Source organism: Homo sapiens, chromosome 13 (assembly GCF_000001405.40).
Source record: "Homo sapiens chromosome 13, GRCh38.p14 Primary Assembly".
NCBI classification, from domain to species: Eukaryota; Metazoa; Chordata; class Mammalia; order Primates; family Hominidae; genus Homo; species Homo sapiens.
Genome location: NC_000013.11, coordinates 40,638,383 through 40,655,461, shown reverse-complemented (window position 1 = coordinate 40,655,461; position 17,079 = coordinate 40,638,383). Strand labels below are relative to the sequence as shown.

The window sequence follows — 17,079 nt, the reverse complement described above, 5'->3', positions numbered from 1 at the left end:
GCACCAGGATCTCACACTTGCATGATTGTTAATGATGTCAGGCAAAACTAGTCAAAACCAACTAGGAAACAATATGGAACTGGCCAGTCTAATTTTTTTTTTTTTTTTTTTTTGAGATGGGGTCTAACTCTGTCACCAAGCTGGAGTGCGGTGGCCCAATCTTGGCTCACTGCAACCTCTGCCTCCCAGGTTCAAGCGATTCTCCTGCCTCACCCTCCCAAATAGCTGGGATTACAGGCACACCTGTAATAGTAGAGACCACCACACCTAGCTAATTTTTGTATTTTTAGTAGGGACGGGGTTTCACCATGTTGGCCAGACTGGTCTCGAAATCCTGACCTCAACTGATCCACCCACCTTGGCCTCCCAAAGTGCTGGGATCACTGGCATGAGCCCCCACGCCCTGCCGACCACTATTGATGTTTGTAGATCCAGTGAAGTTCAGAATTACAGCACATCTTTGGTCTTTTAATTTTTGTAAGTAAAGATATTATATAAAACATCTTCATCCTTCAACTTCATTCTCATCTTGGTTCTAATTTTGAAGGGAGGGTTCCCTGAGGGTTCTTATCTCCCTCAGGGAAGGGAGGTAGATCATTTCTTTCAAGATAGCCTATCTCTGCTGACCTTAAGTCATAGGAGTTCTTTAATTCTTAGAGACCTCTGCCTTCTCAGAGGCCAGTACCACCTCTAAAGTGTCGTGGCCCCTTGGTCTACACTGCAGCACCCCTCATCTGGGAAGTGCTGTTATCTCCAGTAAGCCCCACTGTATTCTTTATACATCTCTGGCCAGCCACATATAGAAATTTCCAGGCTGTCAACTTTTTCAGTGTGACTTGGTTCCAGCATCTTGTATACAGATCTTCGAGACCTAAAAAGAAAATCTTTTTTTTCTGCGTTGATGTATTTTTCTCCCTAGATGATGTTTGTCTTTTTCTTTTTCTTCTTTTTTTTTTTTTTTGTGACAGAGTCTCGCTCTGTCGCCCAGGCTGGAGTGCAGTGACACCATCTCGGTTCACTGCAACCTCCGCCTCCAGAGTTCAAGTAGTTCTCCGTCTCAGCCTCCTGAGTAGCTGGGATTACAGGCGGCCACCACCACGCCTGGCTAATTTTTTTTTTTTTTTTTTTTTTTTTTTTTTAGTATTTTTAGTAGAGATGAGGTTTCACTGTCTTGGCTAGGCTGGTCTTGAACTCCTGACCTTGTGACCTGCCCACCTCAGCCTCCCAAAGTGCTGAGATTACAGGCATGAGCCACCGAGCCTGGTCAGATGATGTTTGTCTTAATAAAGATGTCATTCATTCTTTGAGCAGTTCCAGTTACAGAGCTGGTCCTAATGATATACCCCATGAGCTTAACAGCCCTGGAACCCCTACCTGTCTTATCTGATAAGGGCAAAACTGTGATGAGAAAGAGGGTGGAAGAGAGGGCTTCCCTTGTATGCTTTTGTTCTTTTTTGTTTCATTAAAGATATTTCTTGGATAAACAGTTTTTCTCAATTGCTGTTCTAACAGTCTGGAAAATATAGGTCATGGTTTTGTGACTCTCTACTCTTACTATGTTAGAGATATGATAAAGCATCCATGTTGAGGGAAAATATGTGTTTCTGTTTAAAACCGTGGTTTCCCCATCTTGAAGGTGTTATAGTACTGCCTTTGTAAGTACTGGTGAGTACTTACAAAGTACTTACTGGTGAGGGGCTGGGTTTTTGCTCAGTTAAAAATCTGAAAGTAGCCAAGTGAACCTGGCATCAGGAAAGGGAGGGAACCTCTGTGGTTGTATTTTGTAACTGCAGTAAAAAAGCCAATGCGCATGATTAATCCTCCTAAGTCTTATTTGGGCCTAATGAGGAAAGGAGGAAGAGGGAAACCAGTTTGCATTATGTGGGAAGATAAAGATTTCTTCAATGGTTTGGTATTCTGAAGAGTTAGCTGAGGCCGGGAGGCACTGGGCTTTGTCTCCTCAGTGTTTCGGCCCTCTCCTTTCATATTGGTTTTCCTTTTTTAATTAAAAAATTAGTGCATTTCCTCTGCGGGTACCAGGCTCAGAAGCCTGCCATGCAAGTGGCTGAGCGAAAACCCCTCTTTGAGTGAGGAATCCCCAGCACAGAATGAGAGGGTCTTCATCTTGCAGCAGTGGCAAGGGTGAGAGTGAAAAGGCACCCTGCATTCTGTACCTGAAAAGAAATGCATTTAGAGGCTGGGCGTGGTGGCTCGTGCCTGTAATGTCAGCAATTTGGGAGGCTGAAGCGGGTGGATCATGAGGTTAGGAGTTCGAGACAAGCCTGGCAACATGGTGAAACCCTGCCTCTACTAAAAACACAAAAATTAGCCAGGCGTGGTGGTGCGTGTCTGTAATCCCAGCTACTCGGGAGGCTGAGGCAGGAGAATGGCTTGAACCCAGGAGGTGGAGGTTACAGTGAGCCGAGATTGTGCCACTGCACTCCAGCCTGGGCGACAGAGCAATACTCTTGTCTTGAAGAAAAAAAAAAAGAGAAATGCACTTAGATTTCAAATTTAGTTTGGAAAGAGAAATTATAATTGAATCACCTAATTCCCAGGCTTGTAAATGTTGTGTCCTTCAAAGCTTGAAAGCAAAATAACCACATAAATATTTGGGAGTGGTTCATACAAGTAAACGTCAAATACTTGAGACATTTTGGTTGCTTGGAAGCAAGGTCAAAGGAAATGGTTTGCATATGGTTTAGCTAGAAGCTCTTATTTTGGCAGATTCTTGAGGTAGTAACGGTCACAATGTGGATTTTATTGTTCTATTTTGACATGAAAAAGGTTTTTTCTCTTCTCTAACCTTCAGGATAGAGTTGCATAAGTAACATCAAGATAGGCATGTTCAGTCACCATAATTTTGTATCAGAGATGATGTGCCTTCATGAGCTGTGAGGTTTAATTTGCAGAATCATCAGTTTGGGCCGGCACGGTGGCTCACGCCTGTAATCCCAGTACTTTGGGAGGCCTAGGCGGGTGGATAACCTGAGGTTAGGAGTTCGATACCAGCCTGGGCCACATGGCGAAACCTCGTGTTTACTAAAAATGCAAAAATTAGCCAGGCGTGTTGGCGGACCCTGGGGAGCCAGAGGTTGCAGTGAGCGGAGATCTTGCCGCTACACTCCAGCCTGGGCGACAGAGACTCCAACTCAAAAAAAAAAAAAAAAAAGAATCACCAGTTTGTTACACCAGTAGGTTTCAGCCTGCCATCATTCATACTATACTGTGATTTGAATACAGGAGAAAGTGGGCTCTCTTGAATTACAGTTACCTCATCTGTTTGCAGCAGAACTCTCTCTCTGCAGGGCTACCTCCTAAACGGGGAGTGGGGAGGGAGGAGAGGGGAACTTGCAAAACTTGTAAATATCGATTGGGGTTGTTTGTGTACTTGGCACCAAGCTGGTTGCATTGGAAACTTTTCTCTCTGGATGGGTAGGTATGTAGGCCATCATGAAATTTACATGTGGTGAATGGGAAAGCTTCCTGTGGATCATCCTACCCTGAGAGTTCTTCAATCTGTATGACTGAATTGGTCTCTCCCCTTCAACCTTTTAGGATTTAATTTTCTCTTCAGTGGCCCATTATGACATTTACATACGTTGAATTTGAAAGATTCCCATACTCCCAGTCTCTTCTGTTACCGGTGTGCCTGGAGCAGTTTGTTGAATTTGTGAAATTTTGAGATAGAATGAATTTTGTAGGACCTGAATTTATTTATAATCTTATATTTATATTATAAATATGATGTATATTTAGATGTATATTTATGTTATAAATATAATGTATATTTAGATGTATATTTGTATGTCATGTATTTGTATTAACATGAAGTCTTTCTGATGATGATAAAACACTATTTTTAAACATTTAGCAGTTGATGACTACATTTTAGAGGTCATCAAAATGTTTTATTTTTTCCTCTCTTGAAGTTATTTGGTATAATTAAAAAAATTCATACTAAGGAAATTTATCAGGGTTAAAGATTCCTGTAATTAGGCATGTTTTGATGTTATTGATATCCTCTTTTCTGGTTTTGGAGTGGATACTTTCCCTGCTGTGACCTCTGTGCTCTGTAGTGGTTCTCCTAGGGAATTATATTCCAGTAATTCTGGGTATTTCTTTAAGGTGCTTTGTATTTCTTGAAGTGCCATTTTGATACTTTCAGTGTTCTGAACTGTACCTAGAACGTACTTTTTATAAAAAGGAAGCAGAGTCCATCCAGGCAGAGAGAGTACTGTGTGCCTGTAGTCTTGTCTATTCGCAAGGCTGAGGCCAGAGGATCCCTTGAGCCCAGGAGTTCAAGTCCAGGCTGGGCAACACACTGGGACCATGTTTCTTAAAAAAAAACAAAAACAAAAAACAAAAAACAAAAAACCAAAAAAACTAGGCAGTGCGTGGTGGCTCACACCTGTAACCCCAGCACTTTGGGAGGCTGAGGTTGGCGGATCACTTGAAGTCAGCAGATCACTTGAGGTTAGGAGTTTGAGATCAGCCTGGCTAACGTGGTGAAACCCAGTCTCTACTAAAAATACACAAATTAGCTGGGCATGGTGGTGCATGCCTGTAGTCCCAGCTACTCGGGAGGCTGAGGCAGGACAATTGCTTGAATCCAGGAGGCAGAGGTTGCAGTGAGCCAAGATTGCGCCACTGCACTCCAGCCTGGGTAACAGAGTGAGACTCCATCTCAAAAAACAACAACAATTAACAACAACAAAAACCAAAGCTAAACAAGAGCAGAATCCAGATTATTAAAATAACAATTTAAAAAGCATGATTGTCACAGGCTTCAATAATTACCTGCCTGCTCTTGAGTGTTTAGGTTGGTCTTGGAATCGGCCTGTCCCTGTGCTTGAGGAGTGGACCCTCAGGGTGTCACTGCCCTTCTTTGTGATCTCTTTTTAGCCTACTGTCCTTCCTTTGGTGCCTAACTCAGAAATAAACATTCTTAATCTGTTCAGCTTAATTGAGATTCAAACCTCTTAAAAAGTAGTTTTGTCAAGAGGCGTGTGAACCAGAGCAACTCCATTTTGAATAGGAGCTGGGTAAAATGAGGCTGAGACCTACTGGGCTGCATTCCCAGACGGTTAAGGCATTCTAACTCACTGGATGAGATAGTTGGTCAGCACAAGATACAGGTCATAAAGACCTTGCTGGTAAAACAGGTTGCAGTAAAGAAGCCAGCTAAAACCCACCAAAACAAAGATGGCCACGAGAGTGACCTCTGGTTGTTCTCACTGCCACACTCCCACAAGCCCCATGACAGTTTACAAGTGCTGTGGCAAAGTCAGGAAGTTACTCTATATATATAGTCTAAAAAGGGGAGGCATGAATAATCCACCCCTCGTTTAGCATATCATCAAGAAATAGCCATAAAAATGGGCAATCAGCAGCCCTTGGGCTGCTTTGTCTACGGAGTAGCCATTCTTTTATTACTTTACTTTCCTAATAAACTTGCTTTCACTTTACTCTAGGGACTCGTCCAGAATTCTTCCTTGTGGGAGATCCAAGAACTGTCATTTGAGGTCTGGATTGGGACCCCTTTCCTGTAATAGTTTGAATGTTAAAGTTTGTGCCATTGCATTCTTTGGTGTGATTGCTTTATTCTGAACTAGAGGTGAAGAATGTGGGGAATGTGGAATAAAATGAAGGGAATATATCAGTACAGATGGAGCTCATAATTTATGGTGAATTTCTCATTCCTCACAATTGGAGGGTATATGTTTGAAGTGAGTCAATTTCTGAATTTATTACCTAATTTGATTGTATGCCTTATACATTATATTTTTAAGAAAAAAATTAAAATAATTATTGTGCTCTGTGATCTCATTGAACGATGTAAATGATCTTGGGTCATGTAAAATGCTGAACATATAGGAGGACCCTACTTAATAATTTCCTTTGCGATGAAAATAGGGACACATTTTAATCAAAGACAAACTGTTGATGGTTATGTTTCTTAGACTAACCATGACTTCCGCCTGTGTTTATGGCAAGAAGGGAAAAGGAAAACACTTTCATCCACAGAAGTCATCAATTCTGTCATGATTGACAACTTGGGGGCCTCCAATTAAGCCTCATTTATACTCCCCACCCCCCATTTTTTTAGAGAATTGATTTTAAAGGGTATTGGGAGGAAGAAGTAATTAAGTCAGAGAGATAAAATGAGAACTTAAAACACTTCAGATTGTAGAGTAATGCATCAGAGGGATTCTTTTCAAGACAGAATTGTCTGTGATCCTTAACTGTGTGAATACACTCCTTGGATTTGAAATGAAGACAACCCCTTTCCACTTAGTCATGTGCCCTATGAGGCTTGTTTCTGTGTGGCTTGCTGAGACTCACTTAAAATGACATTGACTTTTATTAAACCTTAAGGTTTGTGATGGGCTTTTTGCACAAAAGCCTACTTCTCCAGGGGACGTCCCTGCTCTCTCAGGTTGCTATCTTGTTACTCTGGCCTGAAACAAGTTAGCAGCCACTTTCCCGCAGACCTGCACAAGGCACATCACATCAACGGCTGTTGATTAGAGCATAATGACTTGTTAGATCATGTTTATTGTGCAAATGAACCTGAATGTTACTAGGACAGCATATCCATGTAGGCTTAGAAAACTTAATTTTTAATGCCCCTTCTATCTTTCATCAGGCTAAAGCTTTTGGATTTATGGTTATTCATTCTAGCTATAAATATATTAATAGTATTTTGGGCTGGTCAGATATGGGGCATGACCTTTGACATCCTGCTTGGCTATGCCTGGGAATTTGACATCCTTCAATTTAGGTGGAATTCCCTTGTTTTGTTTCCTGTGATAGTGTGGGGAAATACACATTTTGGCTCCTTCGGCAGAGGAAGACAGGAAAAAAGTAAAATTGGAATGCACTAAGAAAGTATTAATGATTTTATTTCTGCTGTGTATAGTTGAATGCACATGCTTTTTATGGAAGCCTGAGCCTATGAAAATAGTGCACAATAATAAGAAAATGCTAACAATCATATTTAGTTTTTGCATTTTTTAATTTGGATTTATTTTTTGACTAGTTTGACATTTTTGGGTTTTTGAACTGTTTTGCATCTAAGTATACATGGTGGAAAGAACTTTTTGTGATGCCTTTACTAGTATTATCAGTACAGAGTATCAACAGTTGGGAAGAGCTACAAAAGGGAACTCTTAGCCGGTGTGTATTTTGACCTGAGGAAGGGAGTGTTCTGTTGCTACCAACTAAAAGTTTATGAGTGTGCTTCTGTTTCCTGAATGTAATCAGCACCTCCATCAATAATTATCCCTGTAGGGGAACACAATATGGCTTTCCTCTACTGTAGGTTCTTTGACTGAGCCAATAATTAAATTGACATAAGGCAGACTAACAAGATAAAAAAAAAATTGTATTTTCTTATGCACTGGTGACTCGAAGAAGAGTCAGATGATTGAAACTTATAGAGCATCCTCAGCTATAAGTTAATGGGGATTATACAGATAAAGGGGAAAAGACAAAGAGACTCTTACCACTCTTGCTTTGACCAGACTCTGCAGGCATAGATGTGGGAGCCCAATGTGGTAAAAAGTCTTAGCTACAGCTGGCGTTTTGTCAGGGTCTCAGGATCCTGCAGCTGGAACAGTCCTGGAGCTAGTAGTGTTCCAGCCAGTGAAGGATGCTCCACATTGGGCACCAGAAGCTATATAGCAGGGAAAAATGGCTTCCCCCCATCCTTCTAGGTTCTTTGGGCTGGGCCATGATTTAAATTGACACTAGATAGCTGGGCGCGGTGGCTCATGCCTGTGATCCTAGCACTCTGGGACGCTGAGGCTGGTGGCTCACTTGAGCTCAGGAGTTGGAGTGCAGCCTGACCAACATGGTGAAACTCCATCTCCACTAAAAATACAAAAACTAGCCAGATGTGGTGGTGCACGGCTGTAATCCCAGCTATTTGGGAGGCTAAGGCATGAGAATTGCTTGAACCCAGGAAGTGGAGGCTGCAGTGAGCTGAGATCACGCCACTGCACTCCCGCCTAGGTGACAGAGCAAGATTCCATCTCTGGGCAGGGGAGGGGAAGAAATAAATAAATTGACACATGGTAGACTCTAACAGGAGAAAATGTCATTTTATTTATACTTATGTTTGCACAAGAGTCCCACAAAATGTAATGCAGGTTGCATGATTGAAGCTTATATTGTATACTGAGCTAAGAAAAGAATTAGGGTTTGAGGTTTTTGGTGGGGTGGTGGCCACACAAGTTAAAGGAGGATGAGGGGAAGAATTATATGGTGAATAAAGATTGTCTTGCTCTTGGGGATAAAGTCTCTCAGGTAATAAAAGTTGTCTGGAGCAGTCCTAATCCTAGTACAGATACTTTACTAATGTAGACTTCCTTTATGGATGCAAATTTCTTTTACAAAAGGACAGCTTTTCTTGTCTACTCTGGTGTCTGCAGTTTCACAGAATAACCAGCTCAAAATATGCCAAGGAAGTATATTTTGGGGTGGCATATTCTGATCTCCTACAGTCATATTTTGGGGTAGTGTGTCCTGGGCCCCAACATCCCTTTTGAATTGTTACGAAGTTCAGGCCGGGCGCGGTGGCTCACGCCTGTAATCCCAGCATTTTGGGAGGCTGAGGCAGGTGGATCACTTGAGGTCAGGAGATCGAGACCACCCTGGCCGACATGGTGAAACCCTGTCTTTACTAAAATACAAAAAATTAGCTGGGCGTGGTGGCACATGTCTGTAATCCCGGCTACTTGGGAGGCTGAAGCAGGGGAATCTCATTAACCCGGGAGGCGGTGGTTGTAGTGAGCTGAGATTGCGCCACTGCACTCCACCCTGGAGACAGAGCCAGACTCCGTCTCAAAACAAAACGAAACAAAACAAAAATGAATTGTTATGAAGTTCAAATGTCCAAAATTCGATGAAGCGGAGGGAAATTGGTTAAGCTAGAATTTTATAATATTCACCTTTTAGAAGTCACAGTAGTTGGCTGGGCGCAGCTCACGGCACCAACACTTGTAATCCCAGCACTTTGGGAGGCTGAGGTGGGCAGATCACAAAGTCAGGAGTTTGAGACCAGCCTGGCCAATATGGTGAAACCCCATCTCTAGTAAAAATACAAAAATTAGCACTCCAGCCTGGATGACAGAGCGAGACTCCATCTCAAAAAAAAAAAAAAAAAGGTCACAGAAGTCAACTTTTGCTTTAAAAAAGAAAACCACAATTCCTTCACACCCCTCAAATAATCAATTAATAGGCTTGCTTTTTGTTCATTAATTTTTTTATTTCCCATCTAAGGCTGATATCCATCATAGACTAATTAAAATTGTAGATTGTGGGGAGTCTATCTGTTCTGTTCTCAATTATTCACTAAATGGAGAGTGCCATGACTTTTTTTTTTTTTTTTGAGACGGAGTTTCCCTCTTGTTGCCCAGGCTAGAGTGCAGTGGCGTGATCTAGGCTCATCACAACCTCTGCCTCTTGGGTTCAAGCAATTCTCCTGCCTCAGCCTCACCGGAGTAGCTGGGATTACAGCAAGCGCCACCATGCCCGGCTAGTTTTGTATTTTTAGTAGAGACAGGATTTCTCCATGTTTGTCAGGCTGGTCTCAAACTCCAGCTGCCTTGGCCTCCCAAAGTGCTGGGATTACAGGTGTCAGCCACTGCACCCGGCCAGTGCCATGACTTTTGAGGGTGCACATCTAAATGGCTGATATTAAAAATGAGTACTTTTTGATCACTTCCTACTCCCCTTCCCTAGTTTTTCATCTCTTCTTTGCTTTCCTTCTCATTTTCGGCCCCCTCATTTAAAATATTTGACTTGAATAAATTTCTCTAACTTTAATTAGATGAAAAGTTTCTTTAAAGGTCATTGCTGGTTGCTGGTGTGAGTTTTAAGTTTGCTACAACAACCCTGTTTTACTTATTACTGCCTTTAGAAATAGTCATTGTTATTAATAGAACTGATCCCATTTAGAAATATTTGCAGGTGGTGATGATACACTTCACCCTGGGCGTGAACATGATGCAAGTCACCTTAAGGCCTGTAAAGAGGAAATCCACAAGGAGAATGACTTAGGGGAGTGAGCTAAATGGAAGTTACCTCTGTGTACTTTCACCTTTTAAACTGAAAATATGTAAGTATGTGTTTGTCTTACCATAGTTTTACTACCTTCATAGTGTTCTGGTAAATAGGACCTTTAAAATGAGCAGGGAAGGGGAGGGAAACAGTTTTTCTGGCAGCTGATAGTCTGGATATATAGATGTAAATTTCCACTGAAACTGCACCTACCCAATCCTTTTCCTACTGTGACATGTCATTAACTCATATTTGACTTTTGGGAGGAGAGAACTACAAACTCATGCAGAAATACCAAGGTGTGAGGTAAGAAGTCATAGCCATTTCAGTATTCTAGATGTGCATGTCACCAGCTGTTGTCATTGAGCTAAATGCCTTTGTGTTTTCAGTGTTGTCTCGACTCTGTCGCCAGCAGTAGTCTGGTTTAGTCTGGTTTAGCAAATTCTGCAGCCTTCCTGCCTCATCTGTGTTGAATGCTAAGATTAGTAACTTTGAGATGAGTAGTGTTGGCTGCCTTCACATTCTGAAGTTCTTAATTTTAACTTCTGGCTTAGAGAATATGAGACCATGGACTGGATGGAGAAGTCTCTTAACATTAGTAAAAGGAGTTAAATTCTCAGGGTGGTTTCGCTTTTGTGCTTGAATGAGGATGGGAGAGAATACTGCCATTCTCTGTGTTTTGGGTGAATAATCCCAAAGACATTTTATATGTTGAGAGTTTAGAGGTTTGACCCAATCAAACCGGGAATTGTATAACTGGGATGTCCAATACCAAGGCCTCTAAGCTCCTGAAAAACACTTTAGAAGTTCCTGAGCCATCATTGTATGTGTGACCTGGTATATCCCACCGGACTCACGTGCAGGTCTTAACATTGTGATTTTTTTTCTCTGGCTCTGGTTAGATTTGGCTTTTACTCTATCTCTGGCTTCTAATCGGTCCTCCTTTCATTCTCCCACCCTACTTTTCTCTCCTAGTAAATTTTTCCTTTCTGTTAGAGGCAGTAAAGTCCTCACTCTCCTTGTCAGTCCACATGGAAGCTTTGCCTACTTGGCTCCCCTTGGGGTGCGGTGAGGTGAGAGGAGGAGTCTAGTCCTGTGCTAATCGCAGATTGTTGGGGACATGTGTTTCAATTTCCTTTGTCTCAGTTTTCCCACCTGTAATTTTGGAGCATGATAATGGGCCATCCAGTGCTAGTGTCTGCAAAACTTGCTTCGAGATCACTGGACAAAAGGTGCTGGTTAGATATATTTACTGGCATGCCCTGGGAGGATGTCTTTAGATCACTACAGTATTCCAAAACTCACGTTGGGGTCACGTCAGAATGATCAGAATTCCCTCTAGCATTTGCTCTTTATAATGCACTCATGAGCCTAACTTAGATCTGTAATTTTGCAGTAAATATTAGGAGTTTTTGGTTCTGTTTCTGCATTGGTAACCAGATAATTCCTATTTAGACAAGTCACATCACTGCGGTACTAGCATCGTCATCTGTAAAATGGGGATAATGATACTGCTGGGAAGTACTTGTAGGACAAGTTGAGGTGCTCAAAGGAAGGAGCTGTGTAATTATGCTGTATTATACAGCAATAGCATTAGCCAAAATACTTGGACTTAAAGCTTAGCACACCTGAGATTCTGGGGTTTTCTTTTTCTTTTTTTTTTAAATTACGGACATTAGGATTATATGGAATATTTTTACATAAAAACATAAGATCAGAACCAAAGAAAGAATCAAAACCTTTAGACCTATCTTTCCTAGCATTCCTAGTAATTGTGTAGCAAGTTTGATAAGGGTGCTCTGGCAGACTTATATTGTTTTTGTGCTTTGGAAGAACTTCTGATGGGATGGGGAAATAACCTGGCAGCATGAGAAAGTGGAATATAAAATTGTATATCAACTGATTTCAATTATGTGAAGTATCTTAGGCTCTACTGTATAGCTGTACTCGGGAGGAAATACACCCAGAGTTTGCAGTGGGTTGTATTTGGAGTGTATAAATACGGGTAAGTTATACATATGTATCTTCTTTTCTTTTTTTTTTTTTTTTCTTTTTGAGACGGAGTCTCACTTTGTCACCCAGGCTGGAGTACAGTGGAGCGATCTTGACTCACTGCATCATCTGCCTCCCGGGTTCAAGCAATTCTCCCACCTCAGTGTCCTGAGTAGCTGGGATTACAGGTGCCTGCCATCACACCTGGCTAATTTTTGTATTTTTAGTAGAGACGGGGTTTCACCATGTTGGCCAGGCTGGTCTCAAACTCCTGACCTCAAATGATCCACCTGCTTTGGCCTCCCAAAGTGCTAGGATTATAGGCATGAGCCACCACGCCCGGTCCTGTATTACATTTTAAGTAACAAACACTTTTAATAGAAACATTAACAATTTTGAAATGAAAATGCTGTTTGTGGTTTTCAGGCTCTCCTCCTTGAGAGAATTTTGGATTCAAGCAAGTCAAACTTGAGATTATTTGTATTTTTTATTTTTGGGAGAGGATCTCACTCTGTCTCATCCAGGTTGAAGTGTAGTGGCACAGTCTCGGCTTCACCTTCTAGGCTCAAGCAGTCCTCCCACTTCAGCCTCTGAAGTAGCTCGGACACAGGTGCACGCCACCATGGTAGACTACTTTTTTGTATTTTTGGTAGAGACGGTGTTTTGCCATGTTGCCCAGGCTGGTTTCGAACTCCTGAGCTCAGGCAATCTACCTGCCTTGGCCTTCCAGAGTCCTGGGATTACAGGCATGAGCCACCCTGCCCAGCCTATTTATGCTGTTAAAGGGAAGAACAGAGGGCTGGAATTAAACTTTAGAGGGTCTTTTATGGGATAGGCAGTGAGACAGGACTGAGCTGATCATGTTAGGATTCCAAAGGGTAAGTTTGCCAAGCTTATATCTGTCATCTGATAGTCTGGATGTATAGATGTAAATTTCCACTGAAACTGAAATTTACATTTATATGTGGTGACAGGCATGAGAGATACCTTTTTGGAGTATAGTTGCCGGTGCAAAAGTGAAGACAGACTGATTGAGGGAAGTACACTGGTTGAGGGAATGCCCATTTTTTGAGAGGACATTCGCTGACTGTATGTCTAGATTGGGGTTTGGTTGCATCTGCTACATATCCTAGCACTTCTTAAGAATGTGAAAAAAATCTATAGAATTAGACCTGTTTTTCAAAGCAGTGAAGTTACACTAGCTACAAAAAAGAAGCTGATATTTATTGTGTGCTTACTGTGGCAGGCACTGCTATAAATGCCTTTTATTTTAGTCTCATAAACATATAATGTAGATATTCCCACTATCCCCAATTTGTATATGAGGAAACTGAGACACGAAGTTGAGTAATTTCTTGAATGTTACACAGTAAATGGACTCAAGATGCCAATGTGTATTTATTTATTTATTTATTTTTTGAGATGGAGTATTGCTGTGTCTCCCAGGCTGGAGTGCAATGGTGTGATCTTGGTTCACTGCAACCTCTGCCTCCTAGGTTCAAGTGGTCCTCTCACCTCAGCCTCCCAAGTAGCTGGGATTACAAGTATGCGCCACCATGCCCTGCTAATTTTTACATTTTTAGTGGAGATAGGGTTTTACCATGTTGGCCAGGCTGGTCTTGAACTCCTGACCTCAAGTGATCTGCCTGCTTCGGCCTCCCAAAGTTGCTGGGATTACAGGTGTGAGCCACCGCACCCAGCTGTCAGTGGGTTTTTAACCTAGGTCTGTGACTCTTAATCACTTCAGTTTGCTACAGCAAAGAGAATAATTATCTTTGGAATTTTGGAGAAAAAAACTAGGACTTAAATTTGAAACTGGAAATACTAAAGTAAAATAAAATTAACGGCTAAATAATCAGTTAATTAACAGAATCTAAACAATTAATGCACATACTGACAATCCTATGGTAGAAGTCTTACTGGCTCATCCAGCTAGTTAACTAGACTCTTAAAGATGAAAAATATATAATGATATATATATATATGATATATATAATGAGATATAATGAGATTTATGTCAAAGTATTAGTGAATTGTTCTCTAAGGAGAATAATTCAGGTGTGTTTGTGGTGATGATTAATGAGCGGTTGGGAGGAGTTGACCAAGTAACCCTGTCGTGGCTCAGGGTGTGGTGAAGAGGAGTTGCCTGTGGTTTCCTCACCAGATGGATAGGAAGGCTCTATTTAGTTGGCTTCACTGTTGGCTCTGTCACCCCCTACACATACTGCCTAGAAGACGGAGGAAAAGAACCTCCTTTTACGGGGAATGGAAACTTGTCCTTGTTGTTGCTGTGGGGTTGGCACATAGAAATAACAAACACTGGCCGGGCACGATGGCTCACGCCTGTAATCCTAGCACTTTGGAGGGCCAAGGCGGGTGGATCACTTGAGGTCAAGAGTTTGAGACCAGCCTGGCCAACATGGTGAAATCTTGTCTCTACTAAAAATACAAAAATCAGCCGGGTATGGTGGCAGGTGCCTGTAATCGCAGCTACTTGGGAGGCTGAGGCAGGAGAATGGCTTGAACCCAGGAGGCAGAGGTTGCAGTAAGCCGAGATTGTGCCATTGCACTCCAGCCTGGGAAACAGAGCAAAAACTCTGTCTCAAACAACAACAACAACAACAACAACAACAACAACAACAACAAAAGAAATAACAAACACTGACCTGTTTGGACAGAAAATACTTTGTTCTTGGGGTGAGCTTAAGCTTCAGGAAGGCTACTGATACTTTAGTTAAGGGACGAGGACAAAAAGAAATCCTTAAGCTTTCATCCACATTTTACTAAGAACAGGTCAGTCCTTCCCATTAGGTACTGTCTCTATTGCATGCACAGGAAACTGAGGTGAAGAGAAGCGAAGTGACCTGCTCCAGACTGAGGTCCTGAGACTCAGGGCTTGGGGGATGCTAAAGCCGCCCTTCTAACTGGATCATCAGATGAGCAGAATAGCGCCCAGGAGCGCCCTCATTGAGAAAGTCTTTTGGTTTTGCTTTGGACGATACTTAGAGAGAGAGAGTGTAGTGTAGTTCAGAGGCAGTGGTAACCAGGGCTACCTTCAGAGCCAGACATTGCTTGGCTTAGGACTCTGCTTCCAAATAATGTTCATCGTCCCTCCCTTTCCCTTTCCTTATCCTTTAAAAGAAATCACAGTGACCTAAAGCAATTCTTTTAATTCCCTTTACATATGATGCTTGCATGAAGTGTGTGGCCCTTTAGCTTTTTCTTGAGTAATTGGTTCCTAATAGATGGACAGGATTTGTGCTATTTTAGTGTAGGATTATCTAGAGTTTTTAATGTTTGTTTTATTCAAGGAGTGGAATCTATGGCCCTGTGGGGGCAGAGGTTCTGTAGTGTTTAGAACCTTGAGTATTGTCACAAATCCGTTCAAGCTTGTTTAACTTAACCTTGGACAAATTAACATTTAAGGATAGGTTTTCTCACATGTATAATGAGGATAGCACTTGCTAAGATTGTCGTGAGGATTGAGGGATTGGGTTTGCCACATAAGGCAAAGGTTGCTCTCTCCCGTTCTCAGTCGTTTTATTTTCGAAGATTTTTCAGATAGAAGGGAGAAAGGAAAAAACTTCTAATTAGGTCTAAATTCTTCCTCTGCTAAAGACTGGGCTAGTGGTTCTCAGCTGGTCCCTCTGACATTTGGCAATTCAAGAAACATCTTTTGTTGTCACAGCTTGGGTGGGGATGTGTTGCTACTGGCATCTAGTGATTAGAGATCAGGGGTGCTGCTAAACACCGTGCAAAGCACAGGACCGACCTCCCATAACAGAGAATTATCTGACCAGTAGTGCTGGCCACTATGTGTGTCAGTAGTGCTGAAGTTGTGAAACCCTCCCTGCTCTAGACAAAATTAGTTTATTTTTTTCCTGCATGAAAATGCCTTTGTTGCTTAGTGAGTGATTTTGAACTATTGGAATAAAAAACTGAGAGAATTCCTAACTTAGTTACTAGTGTTTTTATTTACTGCACCTAAAACTAGAAGAATGACGTGTAGGGCTCTGGACTACTGACAGGCGACCCTGTGGTAGGGCCAAGCAGGGTTAGACTGTCAGAGGGTCTGACCTCCTATTCCATCAGCCCTGAGGCTTGTGACCTCTGAAGAGATGAGTCACTCTGCTGGCTCTTGAACCTTCTCCATATCCCTGCTTCCCTTTTCATTGTCTTAGTAACTGTTGTTGTTTTTTTTTTTAAAGACAGAGTTTCCCTCTTGTTGCCCAGGCTGGAGTGCAGTGGCACTATCTGATCTCAGCTCACTGCAACCCCCTGCTCCCGGGTTCAAGCGATTCTCCTGCCTCAGCCTCCCAAGTAGCTGGGATTACAGGCACGCACCACCACACCTGGCTAATTTTTGTATTTTTAGTAGAGACGGGGTTTTACCATGTTGGTCAGGCTGGTCTCGAACTCCTGACGTCAGGTGATCCACCCGCATTGGCCTCCCAAAGTGCTTGGATTATAGGCGTGAGCCACCGTGCCTGGCCTTAGTGACTGTTCTGGAGTTACAGAGGTGGTGCGCTGCCCTGCCCCCCTTCCTTCCATTTCAGAACTTCCAGTGATGGTCTGAAGTTTCTACTGCCTTCAGTGCCTCATCACAGTATGAATACAGTGCCCATCCTTCTGATGACCACTTCTCACCACTGTCGTGAGTGGGCATGTATTTTCCTAGGACCATTGCCACCTTCTGAAACCTTAGGCCCCCTCCTCCTCCTCCCAGACTGCCTATTTTGCTGCCTTTTTTGTGAAGCTTGTTGTCTTGATTTCCTCCCCAATTGAATGGGATTTCTCTGTTTCCTTTGATTCCCCCCTTAACAGGTGTGCTCTCTCTTGGAACTTTTTGTGAGTTAGTCTCTCGCCCCCAAATCTCATTGGACTGTAAGCTTTTAAGGGCAGAATTCTATTTACTTTTCCTTTCTGGTCCCAGGAAACATCTTAATATTTAGTTTCTCACACACAATGGGAATGAAACAGACATTTAAAAATGACAAATTTTAGCTTTTTTTTTTGTTGGAG

The 17,079-nt window shown here is 42.2% G+C and overlaps 1 protein-coding gene across 2 annotated transcripts in view, besides 2 other annotated features; it reads left to right on the top strand.

Moving 5' to 3' along the window:
- FOXO1 (forkhead box O1) overlaps window positions 1-17,079 on the top strand; it is a 110,975-nt gene that overhangs the window by 11,180 nt on the left and 82,716 nt on the right. The window contains exon 1 of one of the 2 annotated variants that reach the window (XM_047430204.1): window positions 1,141-10,123. The exons of the other annotated variant lie outside the window; for it this stretch is intronic. The gene's annotated coding sequence lies outside the window, so the exon portion shown is untranslated. Of the gene's footprint in view, window positions 1-1,140; window positions 10,124-17,079 lie in introns of those variants that run through there. 2 annotated transcript variants of the gene reach the window in all.
- Window positions 2,705-3,225: an enhancer, noted in NCBI's record as "OCT4-NANOG-H3K27ac-H3K4me1 hESC enhancer chr13:41226374-41226894 (GRCh37/hg19 assembly coordinates)". NCBI's record gives its function as "activates a minimal SCP1, AML or CMV promoter by ChIP-STARR-seq in naive H9 embryonic stem cells {active_cell/tissue: H9 hESC(naive)}" and the evidence as "EXISTENCE:reporter gene assay evidence [ECO:0000049][PMID:30033119]".
- Window positions 3,226-3,747: an enhancer, noted in NCBI's record as "OCT4-NANOG-H3K27ac-H3K4me1 hESC enhancer chr13:41225852-41226373 (GRCh37/hg19 assembly coordinates)". NCBI's record gives its function as "activates a minimal SCP1, AML or CMV promoter by ChIP-STARR-seq in naive and primed H9 embryonic stem cells {active_cell/tissue: H9 hESC(naive and primed)}" and the evidence as "EXISTENCE:reporter gene assay evidence [ECO:0000049][PMID:30033119]".